At 43.1% G+C, this 24,427-nt stretch overlaps 1 protein-coding gene across 19 annotated transcripts in view, besides 3 other annotated features; it reads left to right on the forward strand.

Annotated features, from left to right (window-relative positions):
• The window catches only part of RAI14 (retinoic acid induced 14), a 176,285-nt gene that overhangs the window by 68,720 nt on the left and 83,138 nt on the right, over positions 1–24,427 (forward strand). The window contains exon 1 of one of the 19 annotated variants that reach the window (XM_047417090.1): positions 7,841–8,285. The exons of the other annotated variants lie outside the window; for them this stretch is intronic. Coding sequence (XP_047273046.1) covers positions 8,260–8,285 — 26 coding nt within the window. The 5' untranslated portion in view covers positions 7,841–8,259. Of the gene's footprint in view, positions 1–7,840; positions 8,286–24,427 lie in introns of those variants that run through there. 19 annotated transcript variants of the gene reach the window in all.
• Positions 10,654–11,154: an enhancer, noted in NCBI's record as "H3K4me1 hESC enhancer chr5:34735806-34736306 (GRCh37/hg19 assembly coordinates)". NCBI's record gives its function as "activates a minimal SCP1, AML or CMV promoter by ChIP-STARR-seq in primed H9 embryonic stem cells {active_cell/tissue: H9 hESC(primed)}" and the evidence as "EXISTENCE:reporter gene assay evidence [ECO:0000049][PMID:30033119]".
• Positions 11,155–11,655: an enhancer, noted in NCBI's record as "H3K4me1 hESC enhancer chr5:34736307-34736807 (GRCh37/hg19 assembly coordinates)". NCBI's record gives its function as "activates a minimal SCP1, AML or CMV promoter by ChIP-STARR-seq in primed H9 embryonic stem cells {active_cell/tissue: H9 hESC(primed)}" and the evidence as "EXISTENCE:reporter gene assay evidence [ECO:0000049][PMID:30033119]".
• Positions 11,662–12,201: an enhancer, noted in NCBI's record as "NANOG hESC enhancer chr5:34736814-34737353 (GRCh37/hg19 assembly coordinates)". NCBI's record gives its function as "activates a minimal SCP1, AML or CMV promoter by ChIP-STARR-seq in naive H9 embryonic stem cells {active_cell/tissue: H9 hESC(naive)}" and the evidence as "EXISTENCE:reporter gene assay evidence [ECO:0000049][PMID:30033119]".

The raw sequence follows: 24,427 nt of genomic DNA on the forward strand, positions 1-24,427 counted from the left end.
GGAAAAAAAAAACCAACTTCATTATGATTTAAATTAATCTCTACTTTTTATTCTTAGATAGAACTAATTAAAGTTCTAATTATTTTGAGTGCTTTAAAACTAGGTGACAGGGTTTCCCTTTCTCTAAAAGGGATTGGAATTTTTCTTTAGGAACAAAATTGATGGGTAGTCTGCAAAAGGATTCAAATTGTTTAGAAATATATGACCATTATGAAGCATTATTTTCTGTCAGTGTCTATGATTTAGGGGTCGTAGAAGACCTGAATGTAATTAGTGATGTGGTGACTTTGTGAAGCTAGAAAAAAAAGAATTGAATTTTCATTCTATCTTTGAAGGAAGAAAGACATTGTGAGCTTAGAAGCAATAGAAGAAGTCACAAAGTACACTTAAATTAGAAAGCTTAAGTTTATTGTGTAGTGGATAGTCAAGAGGGAAGACTCTCCCACCCCCTTCCCTCTTGGTAGGCAAATACCAGACAGAAAATATTTGTAGCCAAAATGGCTACCAGTCTTTATTGTAAGCGCATCAACTCAAAGATAAAACAAGCAGAGGACATCAGAAGACAACTCACAGCTACTAACTGAACATGAAGAATACGTCACCGATAACCAAGTGCTGCAATTAAAATAAGATGCTGGCCAGGCATGGTGGCTCATGCCTGTAATCCCAGCACTTTGGGAGGCTGAGGTGGGTGGATCACTTGAGGTCAGGAGTTTGAGACCAGCCTGACCAACATGGTGAAACCCTGTTTCTACTAAATACAAAATTTAGCCAGCAGTGGTGGCGTATGCGTGTAATCAGCTACTTGGGAGGCTGAGGCAGGAGAATCGCTTGAATCTGGAAGGCAGAGGCTGCAGTGAGCTGAGATTGTGCCATTGCACTCTAGCCTGGGCAACAGGAGCGAAACTGCTTCTCAAAAAAAAAAAAAAAAGCCACAAATACATTACAATTTTAAAATGTGAATACTTTTGTTATTTGATAATATTAAGGAATTATTCTTAAAATATTTAGACGTTATACTAGTATTTTGTAAAAGATTTCAGAGAGGCCAGACACGGTGGCTCATGCGTATAATCCCAGTGCTTTGGGAGGTTGAGGTGGGAGGATTGCTTGAGGCCAGCCAGGAGTTTGAGACCAGCCCAGGCAACATAGCAAGACCCTTGTGTATTAGCTTCTTCCCACACTGCTATAAAGAACTATTGGAACTCAGTAATTTATAAAGAAAAGAGGTTTAATTGACTCATAGTTCCAAAAGCTGTACTGGAGGCATGCCTGGGGAGGCCTCATGAAACTTATGGTGGAAGGGTGAAGGGGAAGCAAGCACGTCTTCACATGGTGGCAGGAGAAAGAGTGAGTGAAGGGAGAGGTGCTACACACTTTCAAACAACCAGACCTCATGAGAACGCACTCACTATCACAAGAACAGCAAGGGGGAAATCCGCCCCCATGATCCAATGACCTCCCACCAGGTCCCTCCCCTAACACTGGGAATTACAATCCAAGGTGAGATTTGGATGGGGACACAGAGCCAAACCATATCACCCTGTGATACTTGGGTGAATTGTAATAATCCCCATGTGCCATTGGAGGGACCTGGTGGGAGGTAATTGAATCATAAGGGCAGATTTTTCCCGTGCTGTTCTCAGGATAGTGAATAAGTCCCATGAGATCTGATGGTTTTATAAAGGGGAGTTCTTCTGCACATGCTTTCTTTTTGCCTGCCACCATGTAAGATGTGCCTTTGCTCTTTTTTGTGTTCCGCTATGATTGTGAGGTCTCCGCAGTCATGCGTAACTGTGAATTCATTAAACCTCTTTCCTTTATAAATTACCTAATCTCAGGTATGTCTTTATTAGCAGCATAAGAACAGACTAATACAGTAAGTTGGTACTGCAGAGAATGAGGTACAGCTGTAAAGATACCCAAAAATGTGGAAGTGACTTGGGAGCTGGGTAACAGGCAGAGGTTGAGACAGTTTGGAGGACTCAGAAGAAGACAGGAAGATGTGGGAAAGTTTGGAACTTCCTAGAGAAGCCTTGTTGAATGGCTTTGACCAAAATGCTGATAGTGATATGGACAATGAAGTCTAGGCTGAAGTGGTGTCAGATGGATTTGAGGAGCTTGTTGGGAATTGGAGTAAAGGTCACTCTTGTTATGTTTTAGCAAAGAGACTGGCAGGATTTTGCCCCTGCCCTAGAGATCTGTGGAACTTTGAAGTTGAGAGAGATGATTTAGGGTATCTGGTGGAAGAAATTTCTAAGCGGCAAAGCATTCAAGAGAAAGTAGAGCATAAAAGTTTGGAAAATTTGCAGCTTGATGATGCAATAGAAAAGTAAAACCCATTTTCTGGGAAGAAATTCAAGTCTGTTGTAGAAATTTGCATAAGTAACAAGAAGCCGAATGTTAATCACCAAGTCAATGGGGAGGATGTCTCCAGGATGTGCCAGAGACCTTTGTGGCGCTCCCTCCCATCACAGGTCCAGAGGCCTAGGAGAATAAAATGGTTTCCTGGGCCAGGCCTGGGGCCCCCTTGCTGTGTGCAGCCTAGGGACTTGGTGTCCTGCATACCACCTGCTCCAGCCGTGGCTCAAAGGGGCCAAGGTACAGCTTGGGCTGTGGCTTCAGAGGGTGCAAGCCTCAAGCCTTGGCAGCTTCTGCATGGTGTTGAGCCTACAGGTGCCCAGAAATCAAGAATTGAGGTTTGGGAACCTCCGCCTAGATATCAGAGGATGTATGGAAATGCCTGGATATCCAGGCAGAAGTTTGCATGGGGGTGGGGCTCTCATGGAGAACCTCTGCTAGGGCACTGTGGAAGATAAATGTGGAGTGCGAACCCCCACACAGAGTCCCCACTGGGGCACTGCCTACTGGAGCTGTGAGAAGAAGGCCACTGTCCTACAGAGCCCAGAATGGTGGATCCACTGACAGCTTGCACCGTGCACCTGGGAAAGCCACAGACACTCAATGCCAGCCTGTGAAAGCAGTGTGGCCTGGGTGTGAGACTTGTAGTCACAAGGGATCATCTTAAAGATTTGGCTCCCCCTCTGGATTTTGGACTTGCATGGGGCCTGTAGCCCCTTTGTTTTGGCCAATTTCTCCCATTTGGAAGGGCTATATTTACTCAATGTCTGTACCCCCACTGTATCTAGGAAGTAACCAACTTACTTTTAATTTTACTGGCTCATGGATGGAAGGGACTTGTCTTGTCTCAGATGAGACTTTGGACTGTGGACTTTTGAGTTAATGCTAAATGAGTTAAGACTTTGGGGGGCCGTTGGGAAGGCATGATTGGTTTTGAAATGTGAGAACATGAGATTTGGGAGGGGCCAGGGGCAGATTGCTATGGTTTGGCTTTGTGCCCTAACCAAATCTCACCTTGAATTGTAATAATCCTCACTCCATGGGAGGGACCCAGTGGGAGGTAACTGAATCACGGGGCGGTTTTTCCTGTGCTGTTCTCGTGATAGTGAATAAGTCACACAAGATCTCATGGTTTTATAAAGGGGAGCTCCCCTGCACATGCTCTGTCTTTGCCTGCTACCATGTGAGATGTGCCTTTGCTCTTCCTTTGTCTTCTGCCATGATTGTGATGTCTCCCCAGCCATCTGGAACTGTGAGTCCATTAAACTTCTTTCCTTTATAAATTACCCAGTCGTGGGTATATCTTTATTAGCAGCATGAAAACAGACTAATACACCCTGTTTCTACAAAAAAAAAAAAATGTTTAAAAATTAGCCAGGTGTGGTGGCACCTGTACTCCCAGCTACAAGGCTGAGGCTGGGGAGGAGCTCTTGAGTTGAGGAGTTTAAGGCTGCAGTGAGCCATGATGGCGTCACTGCACTCCAGCCTGGGCAACAGACTCTGTCTCTAAACAGATAGACAAAAGATTTCAGAGATACACACTGAAATATTGAGAGTTGAAATTATAAAATGTCTGAATTTTGCTTACATAATCTAGGTTTCTACAGGGAATGAGTGAGGGCATCGATAAAATAAAGGTGAGGCAGATAAGTGAGTTATTTGATAAAGCTAGTGAGGCAAGGTGTGGTGGCTCATGCCTAGCACTTAGTAGGTATATGTGGGTGGATCCTTTGAGCCCAGGAGTTCAGAACCAGCCTGGACAACACAATGTCTCTACAAAAAATACAAAAATTAGCCAGGGGTAGTGGCACACACCTGTAGTCCCAGCTACTTGGGAGGCTGGGGCAGGAGGATTGCTTGAGCCCGGGAAGTTGAGGCTGCAGTGAGCTGTGATTGCACCACTGCCCTCCAGCCTGAGTGACAGAGCAAGTGCCTGTCTATACACACACACACAAGCTGAAGGGTGAATACATGGGGCTTCATTATATTCTTTCCTTTTGTTTGAACTTTTAATTTTTGTAATTTTTATAATAAAACACTAAAAATATTAAAAATCCTTGAAAGACCCCAGTGACTTCAAGAAAAGAGAGAAGCCACCAGACATTTTGTGCTTCCAGATGGAAGTACGCGCTACCTTCTATGAAGTATTTATTGTTGCCAAAATATTCAACTTGAATCTGGTCAGCCTCTAAATCCTATTGCCAATTAATGCGAAATACTGAAGATAGGAAAACATGTTAAATGTCATGGTGAGATAGGATCAGTCAGAATCAAGAGCATGAGCCACTCTAGAATCCACCTGGCTTCTTCAACAAGTAGATTAAAAGAAAAGGGGGTTGGGGCAGGAAGAAGAAACTCATAAATTAAGAGACTCATGAGACAGAGCCACCATTTGCAATGTATGAACCTCATTTGTAACCTGATTTCATCAAACCAAGAAAAATTCATGAGACAGTTGGGAAAATTTGGATACCAACAGAATATTTGATGTATTAAGGCACTAGTATAATTTTTTCTAAAGATGTGTTATTGTGTTCATTTTTTTAAAAAAAGTTCTCATTGTTTAGAGACACATACTGAAATATTTATTGATGCTGTGCTATGTGGTCTGGGATTAATTCAGATGATCTGGCAGGCAAGGGTCTAAAATGGGGTTACAGCTGAAAGGCACGAGACTGACATGAGTTGATAATCATTGAAGCAGGATGATGAATTATCCACTCTATTTTTGGATATATTTAAGTATTTCCATAATAAAAATACTAGTTTTCACCTATTGTTATCGTGGTAAGCATTTTCTACAGTGATTGATATCCAGTGCTCTCATACTTTGCTGGTGTCTTTATATGCACAAATGTAGTACTAGCCATGTCCTGTGTATCACTTTCCTAAAAATAACCTACATGTTAACAAATGAATGTTGAGTTAAATAAGTATAAAACTTTATGGAATTTTATGTATCTTATAAAATAACAATTTATTGGCCAGGCATGGATGGTGGCTCATGCCTGTAATCCCAGCACTCTGGGAGGCTGAAGCAGGCAGGTCTCTTGAAGCGGGAGTTCAAGACTAGACTGGTCAACATGGCGAAACCCCGTCTCTACTAAAAATACAACAATTAGCCAGGCTTAGTGGCATGCACCTGTAGTCTCTGCTACTCGGGAGGCAGAGACACAAGAATCACTTGAACCCGGGAGGCAGAGGTTGCAATGAGCCAAGATCCTGCCACTGCACTCCAGCTTGGGAGACAAACTGAGACCCTGTCTCGAAAAAAAATAAAAAATAAAAACAGGGCCAGGCATGGTGGCCCACGCCTGTTATCCTAGCACTTTGGGAGGCCGAGGCAGGAGGATCACTTGAGGTCAGCAGTTCAAGACCAGCCTGGCCAACATGGTGAAACCTAATCTCTACTAAAAATACAAAAATTAGCTGGGCGTGGTGGTGGGCGCCTGTAATCCCAGCTACTCTGGAGGCTGAGGCAGGAGAATCGCTTGAACCTGGTAGGTGGAGGTTGCAGTGAGCTGAGGCCGTGCCATTGCACTCCCAGCCTGGGCAACAAGAGTGAAACTCCATTTCAAAAGAAAGGAAGAAAAAACAAAAGCAAAAACAAGAAAAACAGAACAATTTATTGCCCCATAAGGCTACCTTTGATGTATCAGAGTAAAAGAAAGCAGGACAAAAATCAGTTATGCTAGAAAAGAGATAACTTAGGGAAGTTCACTTAAGGGAAATACAACAAAATGCTCTTTGTTTTTAGTAGAATATTAAAGTATGGGTGTGGATTTTTATCCCCCTTCTTACAGTGTTTGGTTATGTGGTTATGTTTTGTTTCTAAGGCCTTAAAATAAATAGATAAAAATGTATACTATAGTAAATTGAGAAAATATACTCATATACATATATTTAAATTACATACTTATCTTCACCTAAAATAAAGATACTTTGTCTAACAAAGTAATATTAGGGATTTATTTTATGTTTTAAGTGAATGATAAATTATCTTGCAATGATATACCTCAGATGAACTCTTCTATTAAACATCTGTGTATTTGTGCATCTACTTATTTACTTTAGAACGGGCAAGAGAAAATGGCCTTGGGACTTTTGACCTGTGGAAGTTTTGCATTTTCCAGCCTGGATATGTGGAGGCTGTGGGCAAAGCCATCTTACTTCCACATTGTTTTTCTGTTTCCCAGTTCCTGGGCACTCAGCTGCCTAAGTGCTTCTCTTTTGCAGGAACAAAAAGAAAAAAAGGTAATAAGCATCTCAGAACTCATCTGGGGAAAAAAAAATAAAGAAATGAATAGTTAATTTGCTGCTACTGTGATAAACTTTCTTTGTAAACATTGTCATCTCAACTTCTGTTTTGATAGAGGACAGTTGAAAACACTGTGCTTGCACTGGCTGGCTGAAGTTTACACTTATTCAAAGCAAGGCAGTTGAGAATTAACCCAAAAACGAATGACCTGACCTTCCAGGAGTCCTGATGCGGCCAGGGGGCCATGTGCTCAGGGAGGCTTTGCAGGGCAGTCATCCCAGGAGCTCGGTGGAGTGGAGGGAGAGGTCAGGAAAGGGAATGCCTCGGCCTCCTGCTGTCTGTTTTCAGTCTCCTAAAGACTCCTCGGAGATGACCACAGGCCCTGGAAATGGGAGTGGCCCCTGGAGTTGGGGTGGTCAGAAAAAGCAGAAGTGCAAGTCCAACATGGGATCAGCCAGCATTGGGCATGCCTAGGGACAATCAGTTGTCTAGGGACTGCCCAAGAGGCCTGGGCTCCCTGCTGCCAGGGAAGGTGGTGTTTCTGTTCTGCCATGGGTTTCAGCTGCAGCCAATGGACCCTTGCCCAGGAGGGGTTTTAATCACTACAAAGAGCCAGACAAATGTGGCCCATGGACTCGACAGTATATATAGAAAGAGCAATGGCAATGGGTGTGCAGAGTCACTGTCACTAATTTTACCAAGATAGTTCTAATCTTAACTTATACAGGTACTAGCTCTTACCAATAATCTTGCAAAATATTTACCATGCTTGATTTTTTTTTTTTTTTTTTTGACAGAGTCTTGCTCTGTCACTCAGGCTAGAGTACAGTGGCGTGATCTTGGCTCACTGCACCCTCTGCCTCCCGGGTTCAAGCAATCCTCCTGCCTCAGCCTCCTGAGTAGCTGAGACTACAGGTGTATGCCACCATGCCTGGCTAATTTTTGTGTTTTTAGTAGAGATGGGGTTTTGCCACGTTGGCCAGGCTGGTCTTGAACTCCTAACCTCAGGTGATCCACCCTCCTGGCCTCCCAAAGTGCTGGGATTACAGGTGCCTGGTACCTGCTTGATATTTAAAAGTCATATATATGTATACATATATATATTATATTTATGATATATATTTTAAAGTCATTTATGTATATATATAATATGTATATATATTTTTTCTCTAATAGGATTACTTCGAGGATTTTTCCCCAGTACACCTAGAAACAATGATAATAAGGCTATAATTAACACAAGGCAAACTATTCCTGACTTTCTCATAGCCACTATCCTCACTCTGTCCTGAGAGCCTGGAGAGTAACTTCTCTGTGTTGAGAAGCCTCAGTGTGACTTGTACTTGTGTTTCTGAGACACAAACTGATCTGCTCAGTTTATTTGTTTGAAGTGTATGTTGCTTTGAGAAAAAAGATTGTTTTATTATATTCTATTTCCATGATTTTTAGGAATGGATCAGAGGAGGAATATCAGAGCAAGATTCCATGAGAAATCTGAGGCACAAGGTTAAAGAAATTCTCCAGAATTATATATACACCTGGAATTTAACTTCCCAGAGCACAGGGCTTTGTAGTTCTTGTTCACAGGCCTGTCCAATGCATAGAAGGTGCTCAATGAATACTGCTAAATAAGCGAATGAATGAACAAGCCAGGATCTGAGCCCAGGTCTGTGTTAGTACTCGAATGCTCCTATTGAACATATGCATTTAACCATATTTGAGATGTAATTGATTTATTGAACTGCTCAAGTTAATGAGGTGTACATTTGAAAGGGTCTTTATTTCTCTCTAGTTGCTGATTTCAACCATGCCAGGTAGAACCTCCTTTTCCTGTCCCATCACAATGTTCAACCTCCATAAGCTTTCAGAGTAATCCAGTTCAAAAACTGAATCTCAAACTTGATTTAAATCTCTCTTTCACCTAGAGCATCTGGACCCTTCTCTAAAGCACCTGAAGGGAGAGAAGAGATAGAGGGCATTCTGTCCTTTTTCTCCTTCTGCCTCTTTCTCATCTGGGATCAACCTGTCTCCCGCAAAGGTTGGGGACAGAGAGGAAGCACTGGGGTCACAGGGAAGGTGAATGAACACCTCTCTGCTCAGCTGGATACAGATGCTGTCCTCTTATTGCTGCTCAGATGTTAGCTCAGTGTCCCACATCTCAGCTCCGTGACTCGGGCTCTGCCTTCAGTTGGAACTTTTCCCACTCTTCCTGCTGCCCTCCTACTACTGCAGGGGTCCTCTCCCCCAAGGGCAGCCATCTTGGTTGGGGTACAGGCAAGATAGCACAAGTCAGGCTTCATAACGTAGTGTCCCAGGAAACTCACTCATCCCTGCCGCTCCCAGCTGGGGGTACATAGGCTGCTTCTCTGGAGCTACCACCGTGCCACGCTTTTCTCTCCAGTTCTTTTCTTCTCTGTGGCTCAGAGGAACACAGAGAAATCAGCAACCTACTGCCTTAGCAGATGAGCAGCCAGTGAAAGTGATGTTGGTCTTCCCCTCTTTAGGCCCGCCCCCCTGGTCTCTGTGTGATTCCGTTGATGACCCCACCAGTTGGTGGGCAGGGGGTGGGGTCAGTGAACTGGGGGGGCTGGGGTGCCTGAAGGAACGAGCACTGCTCTTCCCTTGAGGGATTCTGATTGCCCGCTCCCCAGTGTTCTGATATAGTCTAGGAAGCTGGTATTAGCAGGGCTACCTCTGTTATCTTTTAGTAACTTCTAAAGGAGGTATATGACCCCCCTCTTTCTGAAGGTGGTAACTTTGTGGTTCGCTATCCTCAGCAGTAGGCTTTTGTCTCTAATGCTGGTGCAATAGAAGACATACCAAGGCTTTTATCTCAGCCCCTAAAGACTTTTTAGTAGAAGGAGTAGAAGGAAAAGGATTTCTATTGAATGATGTCATTAGTGATCTCAAAGATTAAAAAAATTATAAATGTATGAATTGGGGCATTAACTGGCAGGCCAGGAAGATTCCAGCAGTATTTGTGCATATCTCATTTATTCTTTCTTTTTTTTTTTTGACAGAGTCTTGCTCTGTTGCGTAGGCTGGAGTGCAGTGGCGCAATCTCGGCTCACTGCAAGCTCCGCCTCCCAGGTTCAAGCAATTCTCCTGCCTCAGCTCCCGAGTAGCTGGGATTACAGGCACATACCACCACGCCAAGCTAATTTTTGTATTTTTAGAAGAGACAGCGTTTCACCATGTTGGCCAGGCTGGTCTCGAACTCCTGACCTTATGATCCGCCTGCCTCAGCCTCCCAAAATGCTGGGATTACAGGTGTGAGCCACCACACCCAACCATCTCATTTATCCTTGAAGTCACACTATACTACACAGACATGAAGGTTGAAAGATGCTAGAGGTGGAGCTGCTTATAATGAAAACCTGGTGGCAACCTAGATGTTTAATATCGTTTAGCTTTAAAGAATGTTGATGCAGCTCTTTATTGATAGGAAGAAAGTTCAGCATATGTTACTTGGTGAGAAAACTGGGCTGTTGAGCAAAATATTTGCTATATGCATAGAAAAAATATGGACTGATAGAAAAAATGGGCAGGGTAATTCTTGAGTGATAGGACTGATAGTGGTTTCATTTTTATTTTTAAATTTTCTGTATCTTTGAAACTTGTTTACGGTGAATCTTGTTTATATATGCAAAAGTTTTGTAAAGAAATTATACTATCAAACTTAATGAAAAGCTAGAATATATACTTACACCAGGTCTTTAGCATTTTAGGTGTCCTATGTCCTTAATTACTGAAGATTTTTTTACATTTTTCATCATCTCTGAGTGTTAAAGTCTCTGTACGTAAAAGCTTTTAGTAAGTTTCACAATCTGGCTTATATTTCAACAACTGAATGCACTAAATATTACTTGGCATTTACAAATGCATGTGGTAATTTGGAAAAGTGCCTTTCTTACAACATAAATCTTCCAAGTAACTTTGAAAGTTGTTGTAGTCATCATCTTGAAAACTAGAAAATGTGAACACTCTAACTTGTATAAAGAAATTCCAAATGTTATTCATCTTATGGTCTATTTTGTAATTTGTTGGAATCATTGAAGTGCTTCAGGGAAATTAATTCGGCAGGGTTTATTTAAGTGCCTAGAGCTTGATAAATTAGAGTGGAGTTTTAGCATGCAGAGAAATGGTGCCGTCATAGGACTGCATCTTTTTGTCTGTACAATTCCAGTATCAGCCTATAAGCTCTGCGAGTTAGGAAACTTGGCTGTGGTTTTCCTGTGGTACTCATAGGACCTCACAGAGTGCAGAATACGTGATACAAGTGATCATGACAAAATAGTGAACTTTTACTCAGCAGTTAATATGTGCAAGGCACATACTATGGTTTTTATGCATTATCTCATTTAAACTTCACAGCAGGTCTCGATAGGTGGTTTTCAACCTTTTGGTAGGGGGCAGGGCTGGACTGTGCTTTGCAATGTATAAGAAAAATTCAGCTGGGCGCGGTGACTCACGCCTGTAATCCCAGCACTTTCGGAGGCCAAGGCGGGCGGATCACCTGAGGTCAGGAATTCGACACCAGGCTGGCCAACATGGCGAAGCCCCGTCTCTACTAAAACTACAAAAATTAGCTGGGCATGGTGGCGTGTGCCTGTAATCCCAGCTACTCAGGAGCTGAGGCAGGAGAATAGCTTGAACCCGGGTGGCGGAGGTTGCAGTGAGCCGAGATCGCTCCACCAGGCACTCCAGCCTGGGCAATGAGTGAGACTCCATCTCAAAATAAAAATCAAAATGGCAAGTGTTTTTTGTTTTTTTTTTAATTCCAAACTGCCCTAAATTTCCATAGTTATGGAAATGCTTTGTAAAGCCGTTCATTAAGTAGACTGATATTCAGGTTAAATTAGAGCATTTTCTTAAAAGTCTGTGTCAATTGTGGGTTAGCTTTTTTGTTTGTTTTTGACAGAGATGAGGTCTCACTGTGTTGCCCAGGCTGGTCTCAAATTCCTGAGCTCAAGGGATCCTCCTGCCTTAGCCTCCCAAAGTGCTAGGATTACAGGCATGAGCCATCATGCCCAGCCAGAATGTGGGTTTGAACAAATTGAGATAACAGTGAGAAAAAACACCAGAGTTCTTTAGGGTTACATCGACAACTTTCTTTGTAAGAATGATCTTTTCAATGTTTGCCATGTTTTACTTTGCTGTCTATAATGTGCAGAATTCCTGCTAGTGATTGAGTAATTCAGGAATCCCCAGTCCCTGGGCCACAGACTGGTATTTGTCTGTGGCCTGTTAGGAGCCAGGCTGCACAGCAGGAGGTGAGTGGTAGGCAAGCAGGCATTATCACCTGAGCTCTGCCTCCTGTCGGATGAGTGGCAACATTAAACTCTCATAGAAGAGCAAGTCCTACTGTGAACTGATCATGTGAGGGATCTAGGTTGAGTACTCCTTATCAGAATCTAATTGCTGATGATCTGAGGTGGAACAGTTTTCTCCCAAAACCATCTCCCCCGGCCCCTGGTCTATGGAAAAATTGTCTTCCATGAAACTGGTCTCTGGTGCCAAAATGGTTGGTACAGCCAGGATACTAAATAGAACAATTCAGAGGCCAGGTAAGCACACAGATACTCCTAATGTAGTGCAGGATGTGCTGAGGCTGAAGGTGCTGGCATTTATGCTGGGCTTGAAGGATTTTTGACAAGTTAAGGAAAGTAGTATTAGCGTAAAATTTTGAAGGAAGGTCTTGAGAACAGATTGGTTTTTAAAAATACTGTGGGTAATTATGGAGTTATTGGAATTACTACCTGTTACTCATTCCAAATAGATCACCACCTTTAGGAGAAAGTTCTTTAGATGTCTTGGCACGGTGGCTTACACCTGTAATCCCAGCACTCTGGGAGGCCAAGATGAGGATCGCTTGAGCTTAGGAGTTTGAGACCAGCCTGGGCAACACAGACCTCATCTCTACAAAAAAAAAAAATTTAAAAATTAGCTGGGCATGGTGGCTTGCACCTGTAGTCTCAACTACTCAGGAAACTGAGGTGGGAAGACAGCTTGAGCCTAGGAGGTTGAAGCTGCAGTGAGCTATGAGCCCACCACTGCACTCCAGCCTGGGTGACAGAGTGAGACCCTCTCTCAAAAACAAAAAACAAAACCAAAAAAAGCTTCAAAATTATCTGGATTCCTCAATCTGCTCTTTGCTGCTTCCAACACATTTTAAATTTGGCATATTTCTGATTTCAGATTGTTTTCTAGAGCAGTGTCATGGACATATTTTTTCCTGAATCTAATTGAAAGCACACATTAGAAAACCTGTCTGGTTTCTTAGAGTCATTCTGTTTTGCAGGAACAAATGTTCTCTGATTCCTCAAAGAACTTCTCTTCTTTTGGACTGCTAAAGCTTTTCTTAGGAACTGTGCCATTTCTGTCTGCTCATATTTATAGAGGGAGGGCTATGGAATTGAGGAATGAGATGGGGTCTATTAGAAGTTGTAAGATTTGTATTCAAATATTTTAGTCCAGGCCGACCACAGTGGCTCATGTCTGAACCCCAGCACTTGGGGAGGCTGAGGCAGGTGGATTGCTTGAGCTCAGGAGTTTGAGACCAGCCTGGGCAACACGGTGAGATCCCATCTCTAAAATTTAAAAAAACAAAAACAAAACCCCAAATATTTCTGTCCAAAATAAAAAAGCGGAAGGAAAAGCTGTAGTTATTGTTCTACAGTTTGCTATTTCTACACTTTGCTAATTCAGAATTCTGTCACCCAAGGAATATGTGCATTGGAGGTGACTGCCAGATGCTCTTTTCCTTGCCAGGAGCAGTGTGGAATTCATGGGAGCAGTGCCCTTTTCTTGCTGGGCACCTTGGCACTGGCTGCGCACACCTGTACTCTTGGCCTCCCTTGTTTGCTTGGTGTGCTGTTGGTGTGGTGCCTTTTGTGGTGACACCAAGTGGGAATCAGGTAGACTTGACATACCCTCACCATCACCCTTTATTCCTCTGAATTAGGAACTGTGAATGGGATTTTGTTGGGATCTCTTCCAGACATTTTCCTGGCAGACAAGAAGGCAGCTTGTTGACATCACTGGTCCAATTGGCCTTCCTTCAAATTTGTCCCCTCTGACTTAACACTCTAAGAGATATCCTGAAATTTCTAGCTTGAGGATACCATCTTACCACAGTTTCCTATGCAGATACAAGTTTTCCCTTAATTGTATATTCTGCAGTTTATTTTGATGGGACATCGATACATTGCTCAAGATATGGATGAATTTTCCCCTAAGTTCAAACCTCCTTAGTAGCTTAAAAATCAGTTATTCTCTGGATAAGTATGGTGGCAGCTGAAGCTTCTGGGCTTGTATACAGCCTGCGGTATATCTCATCTGTGCTGTAGACAGTCTGTAAATCTGGGTTTGGCCATGAAAGTATATTGTGAATATGAACATCAGCTAATTCTAGAGAAAAAGAAGCGCTATTCAAAATAACGGAGTGGAATTTCCCATGGGTCTTTGAATAATAACCATACCAGCTAACACTTACTGAATGTTTACCCTGTGCCAGACATGGTTTTCAATATTTTATAAATATTTGATTCATTTAATTCTCACAACAACCCTCTGATAGAGGCTACTCTTATTATCTCGTGTCTTGCAGTTGAGGCACACAGGGGCAACTAACTTGCCCGAGATAATAAGTGGTAGAGCGAGGCTGTGCACCCAGGTGGTCTGGCTTCTGGGTTCTTGCTTTTAAGCACTATATTATACTGCATTTCAAAAGGCGGGACTGAGATTAGAGATCTGTGGTCTTCTAATGCTAGTATAAAGAGTTTGGATTTGCTAGAATAGACAGAAGGGAGCCAGTTTATTCTCAGTAGTAGAGAGGTGTCAAGATGAAACTGTCAAGATAATAACATTCAAATAGTTGCAATGGAGACATAAAAAGGATATTTTGGGGGCAGTTGGGGCAAAAGGAAAAGTTGTGAAAGCTGGCTACTTCCTCAGTGTTTTAGTAGCAATATTATCTGTTAAGCCCAGTGTTCTGCTTGAGTCTTTTCCTCAGGCAAGCATTCATTCACTCAGTAAACATTTATTCATCACTAGCCTTGTGTCAGCCCTTGTGCCAGATGCCTGGGATACAGACGTAAAAGCCATGGTCCCTGGCCAGGTGTGGTGGCTCATGCCTGTAATCCCAGCACTTTGGGAGGCCGAGGCGGGCGGATCACCTGAGGTCAGGAGTTCAAGACCAGCCTGACCAACATGGTGAAAGCCCATCTCTACTAAAAATACAAAATTAGCCAGGTGTGGTGGCACACACCTGTAATCCCAGCTACTTGGGAGGCAGGAGGCAGGAGAATCCAAGAGACAGAGGTTGCAGTGAGCTGAGGTCGCACCACTGCACTCCAGCCTGGGTGACAGAGCAAGACTCTGTCTCAAAAAATTAAAATAAAAGCTACAGTCCCTGTTCTTGAGCTCTCAACTTATGTGACACTACTAGGTATACACCAAGTGACTTTCAGTAAAAAATGTAAGTGATAAGAAGTTGTGTATAGGATGCCCTGGAAATAAAGTTTCAGAATTTCAAAAGCATTCATATTATTATTTCATTGTTTTAACAATAAATAGACTCATTGCTTTTCAGTGTGTGGGGTCAAACTGCAGATTGCTGACAAATGTCTTAGATTAAGGCCTGAATCCATAGCACAAGACCACACGCTAGAGTTCCAGTATTACTTGAGTCGAATTTTCCTGCTTTTGGTGATTTGTGTGTGTGTTCACTGGCTACTTGGCATCTAGTTAAATCACAAAACTCTAAGCCAAGACGGTTTTGGAGAATCCCTTGTGATCTTTAAAAGGGTAATGAATGAGGCTTCCCATATGGGAACCTCAATGACTTTTCCAAAGTTCTCCATATCTGCCAGCATCCTTGGTTTGGCTCCTCTGTTGCTTTTGTTAAGAAATGTTCAGTTGCAGAGTTCAGCCTTCATGGGCTTGCCTTGGAGGCCTGTGTCTTCTGGGGGCTGGGGAGACCGTGATGAAGAGGGCCATCTGTGCACATGCTCGTCTGAAGCCCAGACCAGACTGATACTGAATGTCATGGCCCCTTGTCTCATGCTTTTAAAAAATGCTGACCTCTGCCTTTAGACACCAGGCAGAAGTGATTTCTTGGAACTAGATTTTTCCCCCTGTGGGTGGATATTAGCGTTTATTTTGGGCTTGCTATTATTGGAGTGTAGGAAGGCTATAACAAATATGCCCTTTCTTGAGAACTATAAGAGTTCTGTTTTAAATAAATCAGTGGTGTCTCTTGCCTGAAATATACTAAACTATCCAGACTACTTAAAATTAACCTCTGATAACATTAGACATCGTGCTCATATGTGTGTAGTATTTTGATTATTTAAGTCACTCTGTTTACTAAGGCTTCCAAACCCACTTACATTGCTTATAGAAACTTGGAATGACAATAATGAGTTTGGAGCATTGTGGAACATCCCCTCCAAGCCAGAAAAAATTCTATTTTAATGGAACAATTCATTCAAAAATATCTGGATAGATCTACCAGGAAGGGCATGGTGGAAGAATGTGAAAGTTTCTGCCATTAAGTACAATCTGTTTGGGAATTCAAATATGTTAAAATGTGCTGGCATCCCCTATTTTACAATGGAGAAAACAGAGGCATGCGAGGTTAAGTAACTTCTCCAGGGTCACACACATGGTAGAGCCAAGATTTGAACTCAGGAACCCAGAATCCAGGCTCTTAGCCCTACACTGTTCCCCTCTCTGTAAGCAGATATGAAGTGGGAGCACCATATACTTGGAATGCTAGTGTAAAGCTTTGTTGAAATAGATGGCAGGGAGCAACTTTATGCCTAGTTGGCAGAGAGATGGCCAGATAAAAATGGGAGGAAAAAGTACTCGTAGTTACAATGTAGAAGAGGACAGAATAACTTGGATTCCAGAATCAAGAGCTTGGCTGAGGCAGAGCATTTGTGTGGCTTATATGGCATGGCCCAGAGGGAGCGCTGGGCAAAGAGGGATTTAAGGTTTGAAACTGGATTAAGAAAAGCCTTGAATGGGGGCATGGAAGAGTGTGGGATCTCTTGTTGACCATGGACAGCCACGGATGGTTTTGAATAAGGAAGTGAGCCACAGCAGTGGACAAGAGTACATCACTATGAGGGAAGTTGGCATGGGAAGAGGGAAGAGGGGAAGTGAAGCAGGGAAGACAAGTTAAAAGACAATTGAAATGTCCTAAACAATGATCAGTGTCAGAACCTCTTCCATGGTTTTATGAAGAATCCACACGTGTCATTGTGCCCCAGGAGCTTGGCAAAGAGGAAGTGTCTAGCACGATGCCTGGCAAAAGTAGGAACCAAAAAGGTGTTTGTTGAACCAAATTGGACTGAATAAGAGGATTGGCCATAGGGATGGAAAAGAAGTCAATGCCAGGGAAACGAGAGACGTGGCGCTGACAGTCTTTGATGAGTAATTGGCTGGGGAGGTGGAGGGAGAAAAGATGAAGCTTCTCCAGCTTGGGTGGCCTCGTCGCTAACCAAGGCAAGGGGCTTATGACTCGGGGCTCAGCAAGCCTGGTTCAGGTCCTTTTCTCTCTATGGGGCATCTTGATTGCCCATTGGCATGTATTAAGTCTATATGTGCTGAGTGGTGTGAGTGCTGAGATTTAACCTCTCGTCTTGGTCAACATTTTAATAAATACAGGCGTGGTTAATATCAAGCCAGTGTGTCATCTTCATTGTTGGCAAGCGAAGAGTAATTTTGGCCGACAGTAGAATCGTAGGGAATACCTAAAAGCATTCATACTTTTTTCAGACACCTAGGTGATTCTAATGTGCAGCCTTGAGCCATATTCTTTGAGAAACATTGCGGTAAACAATTGCTTTTTTTTTAATCATAAAAATGTGTTTTCTTTAAGAAATGTGAAAAACATAGAGAGGTAGATTTAAAAACATTTGACGTGTGCAGCAGCCTTGAGCTAAGTGCCATACACTACTGCAGTTTGCTGTTTTTTGTTTTTTTTGTTTTGTTTTGTTTTGTTTTTTAAGATGGAGTCTCACTCTGTCGCCCAGGTTGGAGTGCAGTGGTGCGATCTCGGCTCACTGCAACCTCTGCCGTCCCAGTTCAAGTGATTCTCTTGCCTCAGCCTCCTGAGTAGCTGGGATTACAGGCGCCTGCCACCACACCTGGCTGATTTTTTGTATTTTTAGTGGAGAAGGTGTTTCACCATCTTGTCCAGGCGGTCTTGAACTCCTGACCTCGTGATCCACCCGCCTTGGCCTCCCAAAGTGCTGGGATTACAGGCATGAGCCACTGTGCCCAGCCTGCTGTTTTTAGTGTCTATACCCAAAGCACCACCCGGTGATTTTGAACAAACAGGAAACAAATCAACGTAGCGTGTGGTTCCTGCAGAAGGCTGCTGTCAGACTGCAGTCAGTAGGGGTGGAGTCCTCTGGGGATGTTTGTGCTGGTTGAGCAAACCCTCTCCATGTGTCACCGCATCAGTTTCTTAGGGCTGCCATAGCAGATTACCACCAGCTGTGGCTTAAACAATGGATGCCTCTCGCAGTTCAAGAGGCCAGAAGTCCAAAATTAAGACATCAGCAGGGTTGGTTCCTTTTGGACATTCTGAAGGAAAAACTGTTCCATGTCTGTCTCCTGGTTCTGGTGGTTGCCAGCAATCCTTGGTTCCTTGGCTTGTAGGCACACCACTCTAATCTCTGCCTCCATCTTTACATCGCCTTCTTCCTCATGTCTCTGCATCCTCTGTTCCATTTCTAAGGATACCAGCTGTCAGATTTAGGGTCTATCCCGAGTCTAGAATAATTTAATCTCTAGAACCTTAGTCAGTTACATCTGTAAAGACCCTATTTCCAATTAAGATTGCATTCTGAGGTTCCAGGTAGACATGAATGTTTGGAGGACACTATTGAACCCCCACAGTCACTTAGGACTTACATGTACGTAGGGCTAGCCAACACCAAGTATGGGAAGCTCTCTTGGACTCCTACCCTAACCTTGGGGTCCCCAATTTTTTTCTTAGTGTTCAAACAAGAAACTAGTCATAGGCAATTGAGATACCCTGGGCCTGGGGTAGACCCCAGCTTCATAGAAGATCCCTTCTTTCACATGTTGAACTAACTAGTTCCAAAAGGGTGTGTATGGGGCGGGGGTGCAGAGAAAATACAGATTAATTAGCACTCACGTAGAATTTATAACTTGAAGGACTGTTTCCATGGCATGTGAATTTCTTTAGCTATCTCTTTGCCCTTTGTTAATTCTTTAACATCTGTAAAGGGCATGATCAGGACAGGAGATTACTTTGGTCCTCGACTCTGACTATTTAGACACTTAAAGTGCACTTAAGCAGACTTTGTGGATGAAATCATTTTGTCTGGATACTTCATGTGAAATGTGTAATGTATCGCTTGGGTGAAGGGCAAAGCTCAGGAGTTGTGGCTGCTTATGATGCTCAGACACATGCCAGGAATACTTTTGGAGTGTCCTTGGATAATAGCCAGACCTGTCTCCAAGTGTCTTGTCTGTGGGCAAGGAAGCCTTGCTCAGACCCTAAAATATTCATTGTTACATGCGTACCTCCCTTTAAGCAATGAATGAATGTTTGAGTAGATCAAATCCTATATTTTTTTTTCCGCAAAAGCTTGCTATTCACAGAGGCCTTATGAACATGTTTATAAAGCAAATAATCTTGTTTTAAATGCTTTTGTGTAACTACAAATTTTATATTTAATACTGAGTTTTCTTTAGGTGTGGTTCCTGTGTTTAAAAGGCACTTATTCAGACCTCAGAGTTCCCAGTCTTGATACCAGCAGACTGAGGTCTCTCCCTCGCCCCAGTGACCACTGTGCTGTGATCTGCTGTTCTCTTCCAGTTGGCTTGGTTTTTTGGAAGTCTTCTCAATGTGATGGGCATATGCGGGAGGCAGGAAAGTGCAGTGATAAGAGCATTGGAGTGCAGGGTTTGAATTCCAGGTCTTCCACTCTCTGACTTTGTAACTTTAGGCAAGATGCTTATATTTTCTTTGCCTCAGTTTTCTCATCAGTAACATGAGGATAACAATATCTGCCTCAGGATGGTCTATCAGTTTCCTGTGACCGCTGTAACAAATGACCACAAACTGGGTGGCTTAAAACAACAGAAATGTATTCTCTCAACAGAAATGATTCTCGAAAATCAAGGCATTGGCAAGGCCATGCTCCCTCCCAAGGTTCTAGGGAAGAATCCTTCCTTGCCTCTTCTAGCTCCTGGTGGTTGCTGGCAATCTTTGGTGTTCCTTGGTTAATGGCAGCATAATTCCAGTCTCTGCCTCCATTATCACATAGCCTTCATTCTGTGTCTCTATGCCTTTGAGTCTCTCTCTCCTTACAAGGACACCAATCATTGGATTTTGGATCCAACTTAAACGAATATGACCTCATCTTAACTTGATGATGTTTGCAAAGACCCTATTATCCAATAAGGTTACATTCTGTGGTACTGGGAAAATGTGCATTTTCTGGGGACACTGTTCAACCCAGTAAAGGTGGTTATGGTGATTTAAATGAAATAAATTATTTATGGCACCTGGAAGGTACTAGCACATACTCAAAATTCAGCAAATCACAAGAAGCCACTTTGTCATAAGGCTTGACTCATTTTCTGTACAATCTCATTGCTCCTTTTTCATTTGACATTTGCTGCTCTTGCTTATACTGGGCCACCCTCATCTCATGCTTTTCACCATATTTTGGGGACATCTAAGTGGCTCCCTAATATTTCACCAGGATTTTTCCTTTCTGCCATCATTCTGGGAACTCTAACATTCACATCAATGACCCATCCAACACCTTGCCTCTGATCTATAGGACCAGTCCCTGGACCTTGTCCTTACCTGTCCCCAATCCCATAGTCATTGCAGGTACTCTCTCACTGCCACTTCTCACCCTTTGACCCTGGAATCTCTGCTTCACTCTCTGTCTTTTCAGTCTCCCATGATAGATCAAGCCAACTGCCCCTTTCTCCCATCCTACCCGATGCCTCCAGTGAAAAATCATGTGACCTTACCAAATGGTTTCTCTATGGAGTTACAAATGCTGCTCCCAGCTGGACCTTTGGAGCTGTTCAAAGACCCTTATATTTATTTTAAGCAGGTTTCCTTACTCACTTCCCCCCGGGAGCTATTGGAGCATTACCATGTGTAGGGCTTCTTGGCCCACCACTGACCGGGCTTACTCTGTCTCCCATTTCCCCAAGAAAAGGTAAAAGCCATAAAACACCAACAGTGACTTCTTCTCTGCCACTGCATCTCTGCTCATGCTCCTCTTCCTCTTTACTATTTCAGAGGTAGAACACGACCCCAATTCACAAAGATCAGCCTTCTGCCTTGGTTGAATCCTCAATTCTGCCACCTCCCAGCCCCTTTCATCACACCTCCTCCCCTTATACACCACCCCCTCCCCCCCCCGCCTTTTTTTTTTTTGTTTTTTTGAGATGGAATCTCGCTCTGTCGCCCAGGCTGGAGTGCAGCTGCGCGATCCTGGCTCACTGCAAGCTCCGCCTCCCGGGTTCACGCCATTCTCCTGCCTCAGCCTGCCAAGTAGCTGGGACTACAGGTGCCTGCCACCATGCCCGGCTAATTTTTTGTATTTTTAGTAGAGACGGGGTTTCACTGTGTTAGCCAGGATGGTCTCGATCTCCTGACCTCATGATCTGCCTGCCTCAGCCTCCCAAAGTGCTGGGATTACAGGTGTGAGCCGCTGCGCCTGGCCTTTTTTTTTTTTTTAACGGAGACAGACTCTCGCTCTGTAGCCTAGGCTGGAGTGCAGTGGTGTGATCTCGGCTCACTGCAACCTCTGTCTCCTGGGTTCAAGCAATTCTCCTGCCTCCGCCTCCCGAGTAGCTGGGATTACAGGTGCATGCCACCACACCCAGCTAATTTTTGTATTTTTAGTAGAGACGGGGTTTCACCATGTTGGCCAGGCTGGTCTTGAACTCCTGACCTCAAGGGATCTGCCCGCCTCAGCCTCCCAATCCTTATACCTTTCATGCTATCTCTGTCTCCACTGACTCCTTTGCTTGCCCCAGTGTATGAACACATTTAAACCCCCCTAAAAAGTTTAAACATCCTAAAAAGTTCCTGATATGTCTTGGCTGTGTCCCCACCCAAATCTCAACTTGAATTGTATCTCTCAGAATTCTCACATGTTGTTGGAGGGACCCAGGGGAAGGTAATTGAATCATGGGGGCTGGTCTTTCCTGTGCTATTCTCATGATAGTGAGTAAGTCTCACGAGATCTAATGGGTTTATCAGGGATTTCTGCTTTTGCTTCTTCCTCATTTTTCTCTTCCCACTGCCATGTAAGAAGTGCCTTTTGCCTCCTGCCATGATTCTGAGGCCTCCCCAGCCATGTGGAACTGTAAATCCAATTGAACCTCTTTTTCTTCCCAGTCTCAGTTATGTCTTTATCAGCAGCGTGAAAACCAACTAATACAGTTCCCTCCTTCATTTTCCTTTGAATTGCTTTGGCTTTCTCCTCTGGAGAGAACCAACTATATTGTAAATGGAGTGACTGCATATGTTTTTTAACTTCTTTGTTATTTTCCTTATCTGTAAAGGGCTAATAATAGTACCTACCTCATAGGGTTATTGTAAAGGTTAAATTGTAATATAGTACAGCTCCTCGCACTGTACATTTTAATTTTAGTAGTAATGGTATCCTCTTTGGGCTTTCATAGGACTGAGTCCACAGCACTAGTCTAGCACGGATAAACAATGACATAAGTAGCTATTGGGTATGTTTCTCTTCTCAGAAGTCTGAAGGCTCCTCAAGGAACAATATTCCTGTCAATCTTTCTATGCCAAGCACTTCACATAGTACATAAGATAAACACACACATACTCTCTCACTCTCTAAATAATGAATATAAGTAAATGAGTAGTTGAAACCAATAGAATTGGATGGGATAATTTTTCTCCATGAAGGAAAAAATTGGCTTCACCTATTTTAGGCTTATCTCTGCCCCCATGAGACTGTGCTTTGACTTCTTGTGACATGGTGGGTCTTTAAAATTATTTAATAATTTAAAATTCTTAAAGAGGTTAATTAATAGTAGCTCCCAAGGTAGAAATGAGAAAAACAAAGCCTTTCCATGCACAGCTCTGAACTGAGCCCCTACCATCCAGTGGGCAGTGGGCAAGGGGCATGGGGCTTAGTGGTGAACGAGACAGATGCTAGCCATTGCCCATGCCCTGGAAGTCTAGTCCAGTGGAAGGTGGACAGACCTTTACAGATACTTTGGAAATACTATTTAATTACAACCATGCCAAGGCCTATGGAAGAGAGCATGGGGGACCCCAGCAAAGAGAACTAACCTGGTCCTGGTGGCCATGAAGGGCTGGGGAAAAGGAAAGCAATGAGGAGGAGGAGCTTGCTGAAGTGGGTAGGGCAGAGGGACCAGCCTGTTTCTGGATGGAGGTGTTTATGTATTATGTACACGCCACAGCACTCGGCAGTTATGTAGAAAAGACCTCAGGAAGTGCTGACACTCTTCATTTAGGGAGAGTGATGGATTTCGGGGTGAATAGCAGGGACAGTGTAACCTGCATGTGTGAATAATCTTAAGCAAAAATGTAAGTAAAGGGAAAAGACATTTTAGATAAACTCATCAGGTATTGGTCTGAAGTAACGAACATTATCTGGAACACTCTTTTATGAAACTGCTGGTTAGGTGCTTGCCGTGTTGTATTGGTAATTTTCTGGTTGTAAGGTTTCACTTGTATCAACTTGTTGTTTATGCTCTCTACTAAATACATCCTGTATGTTTCAATCCTTGTGTCTTTTCTTCTCTCCTTTAATTTAAATATTACTTCTTGCAAGGACTGGTTCACAATCCAGTCAGGAAACTCCCTGCTTGCCCAGCTGAGAGTTGTCTTTCCTTGCTAGTGTGTCAATTCACCATTTTGCTCACTTTGCCACTTCTAATATCCTATTTTGCATTGTTGGCGTATTTCTGGTATTACCGTATTTGATCTCTGCAACTATATAGAAAATTTGGGAGCCTCATGCCTATAATCCAGCCCTTTGGAAGGCTGAGGTGGGAGGATCCCTTGAGCTCAGGAGTTCAAGATCAGCCTGGGCAACCTAGGGAGACTCCGTCTCTACAAATTAAAAAAATAAAAATTAAAAAAAAAAAAAGAAAATTTGGGAAAGGCTATACTGCATGTAAAACACACTTATTTGTTGAATAAGTGAATGAATGATAGGGATTAGATCTCACTTATCTGTGTAACAGCTATAGAATCTTCTTTATTACCCTGCACCTAGTAGATACATATCCGTAAGTACTGGTGGATATAGTCAACTGGGGAAAATATTATTTGAGACTGAAGCTTGCCTGTTCCTTGTACCCTTTCTTAAAATGATGAGGTGTGCGCAAGATTTTTTCCTGGACAATGTGAATCTGAAACCTTCCCAGTGAAAACAGTTTACTTTGTCTTTCGTCTTAGACTTGCTGATTATATTGGCAAAACAGTCTCCTCACCGAAAACTGGAGCAAGAAATGCAGCTTTTCTCAAGATAATCTCAGATAGATTCCTCCAGATGGCTGCCCGAGCAGAGGCACAGAACAAGAGCATTCTAATTGGTGATGGTTAGGGTTTTGGCATCTTTTCTCAAGAAAGTCAAAGAAACTCTCTTCCTGGCTTATTCTGTGCCACTGGATTATTTTGATTGAGTTGATATGTTTGAAAACTCAGAACCTCTTGACTAGCCAGATGTCTGTGACCACTGAGTTCCACTGGTTTTTCAGGTCCCAATGATTAAACCAAAATAAAAGAAG

This window comes from Homo sapiens, chromosome 5 (genome assembly GCF_000001405.40).
Source record: "Homo sapiens chromosome 5, GRCh38.p14 Primary Assembly".
Taxonomy (NCBI): domain Eukaryota; kingdom Metazoa; phylum Chordata; class Mammalia; order Primates; family Hominidae; genus Homo; species Homo sapiens.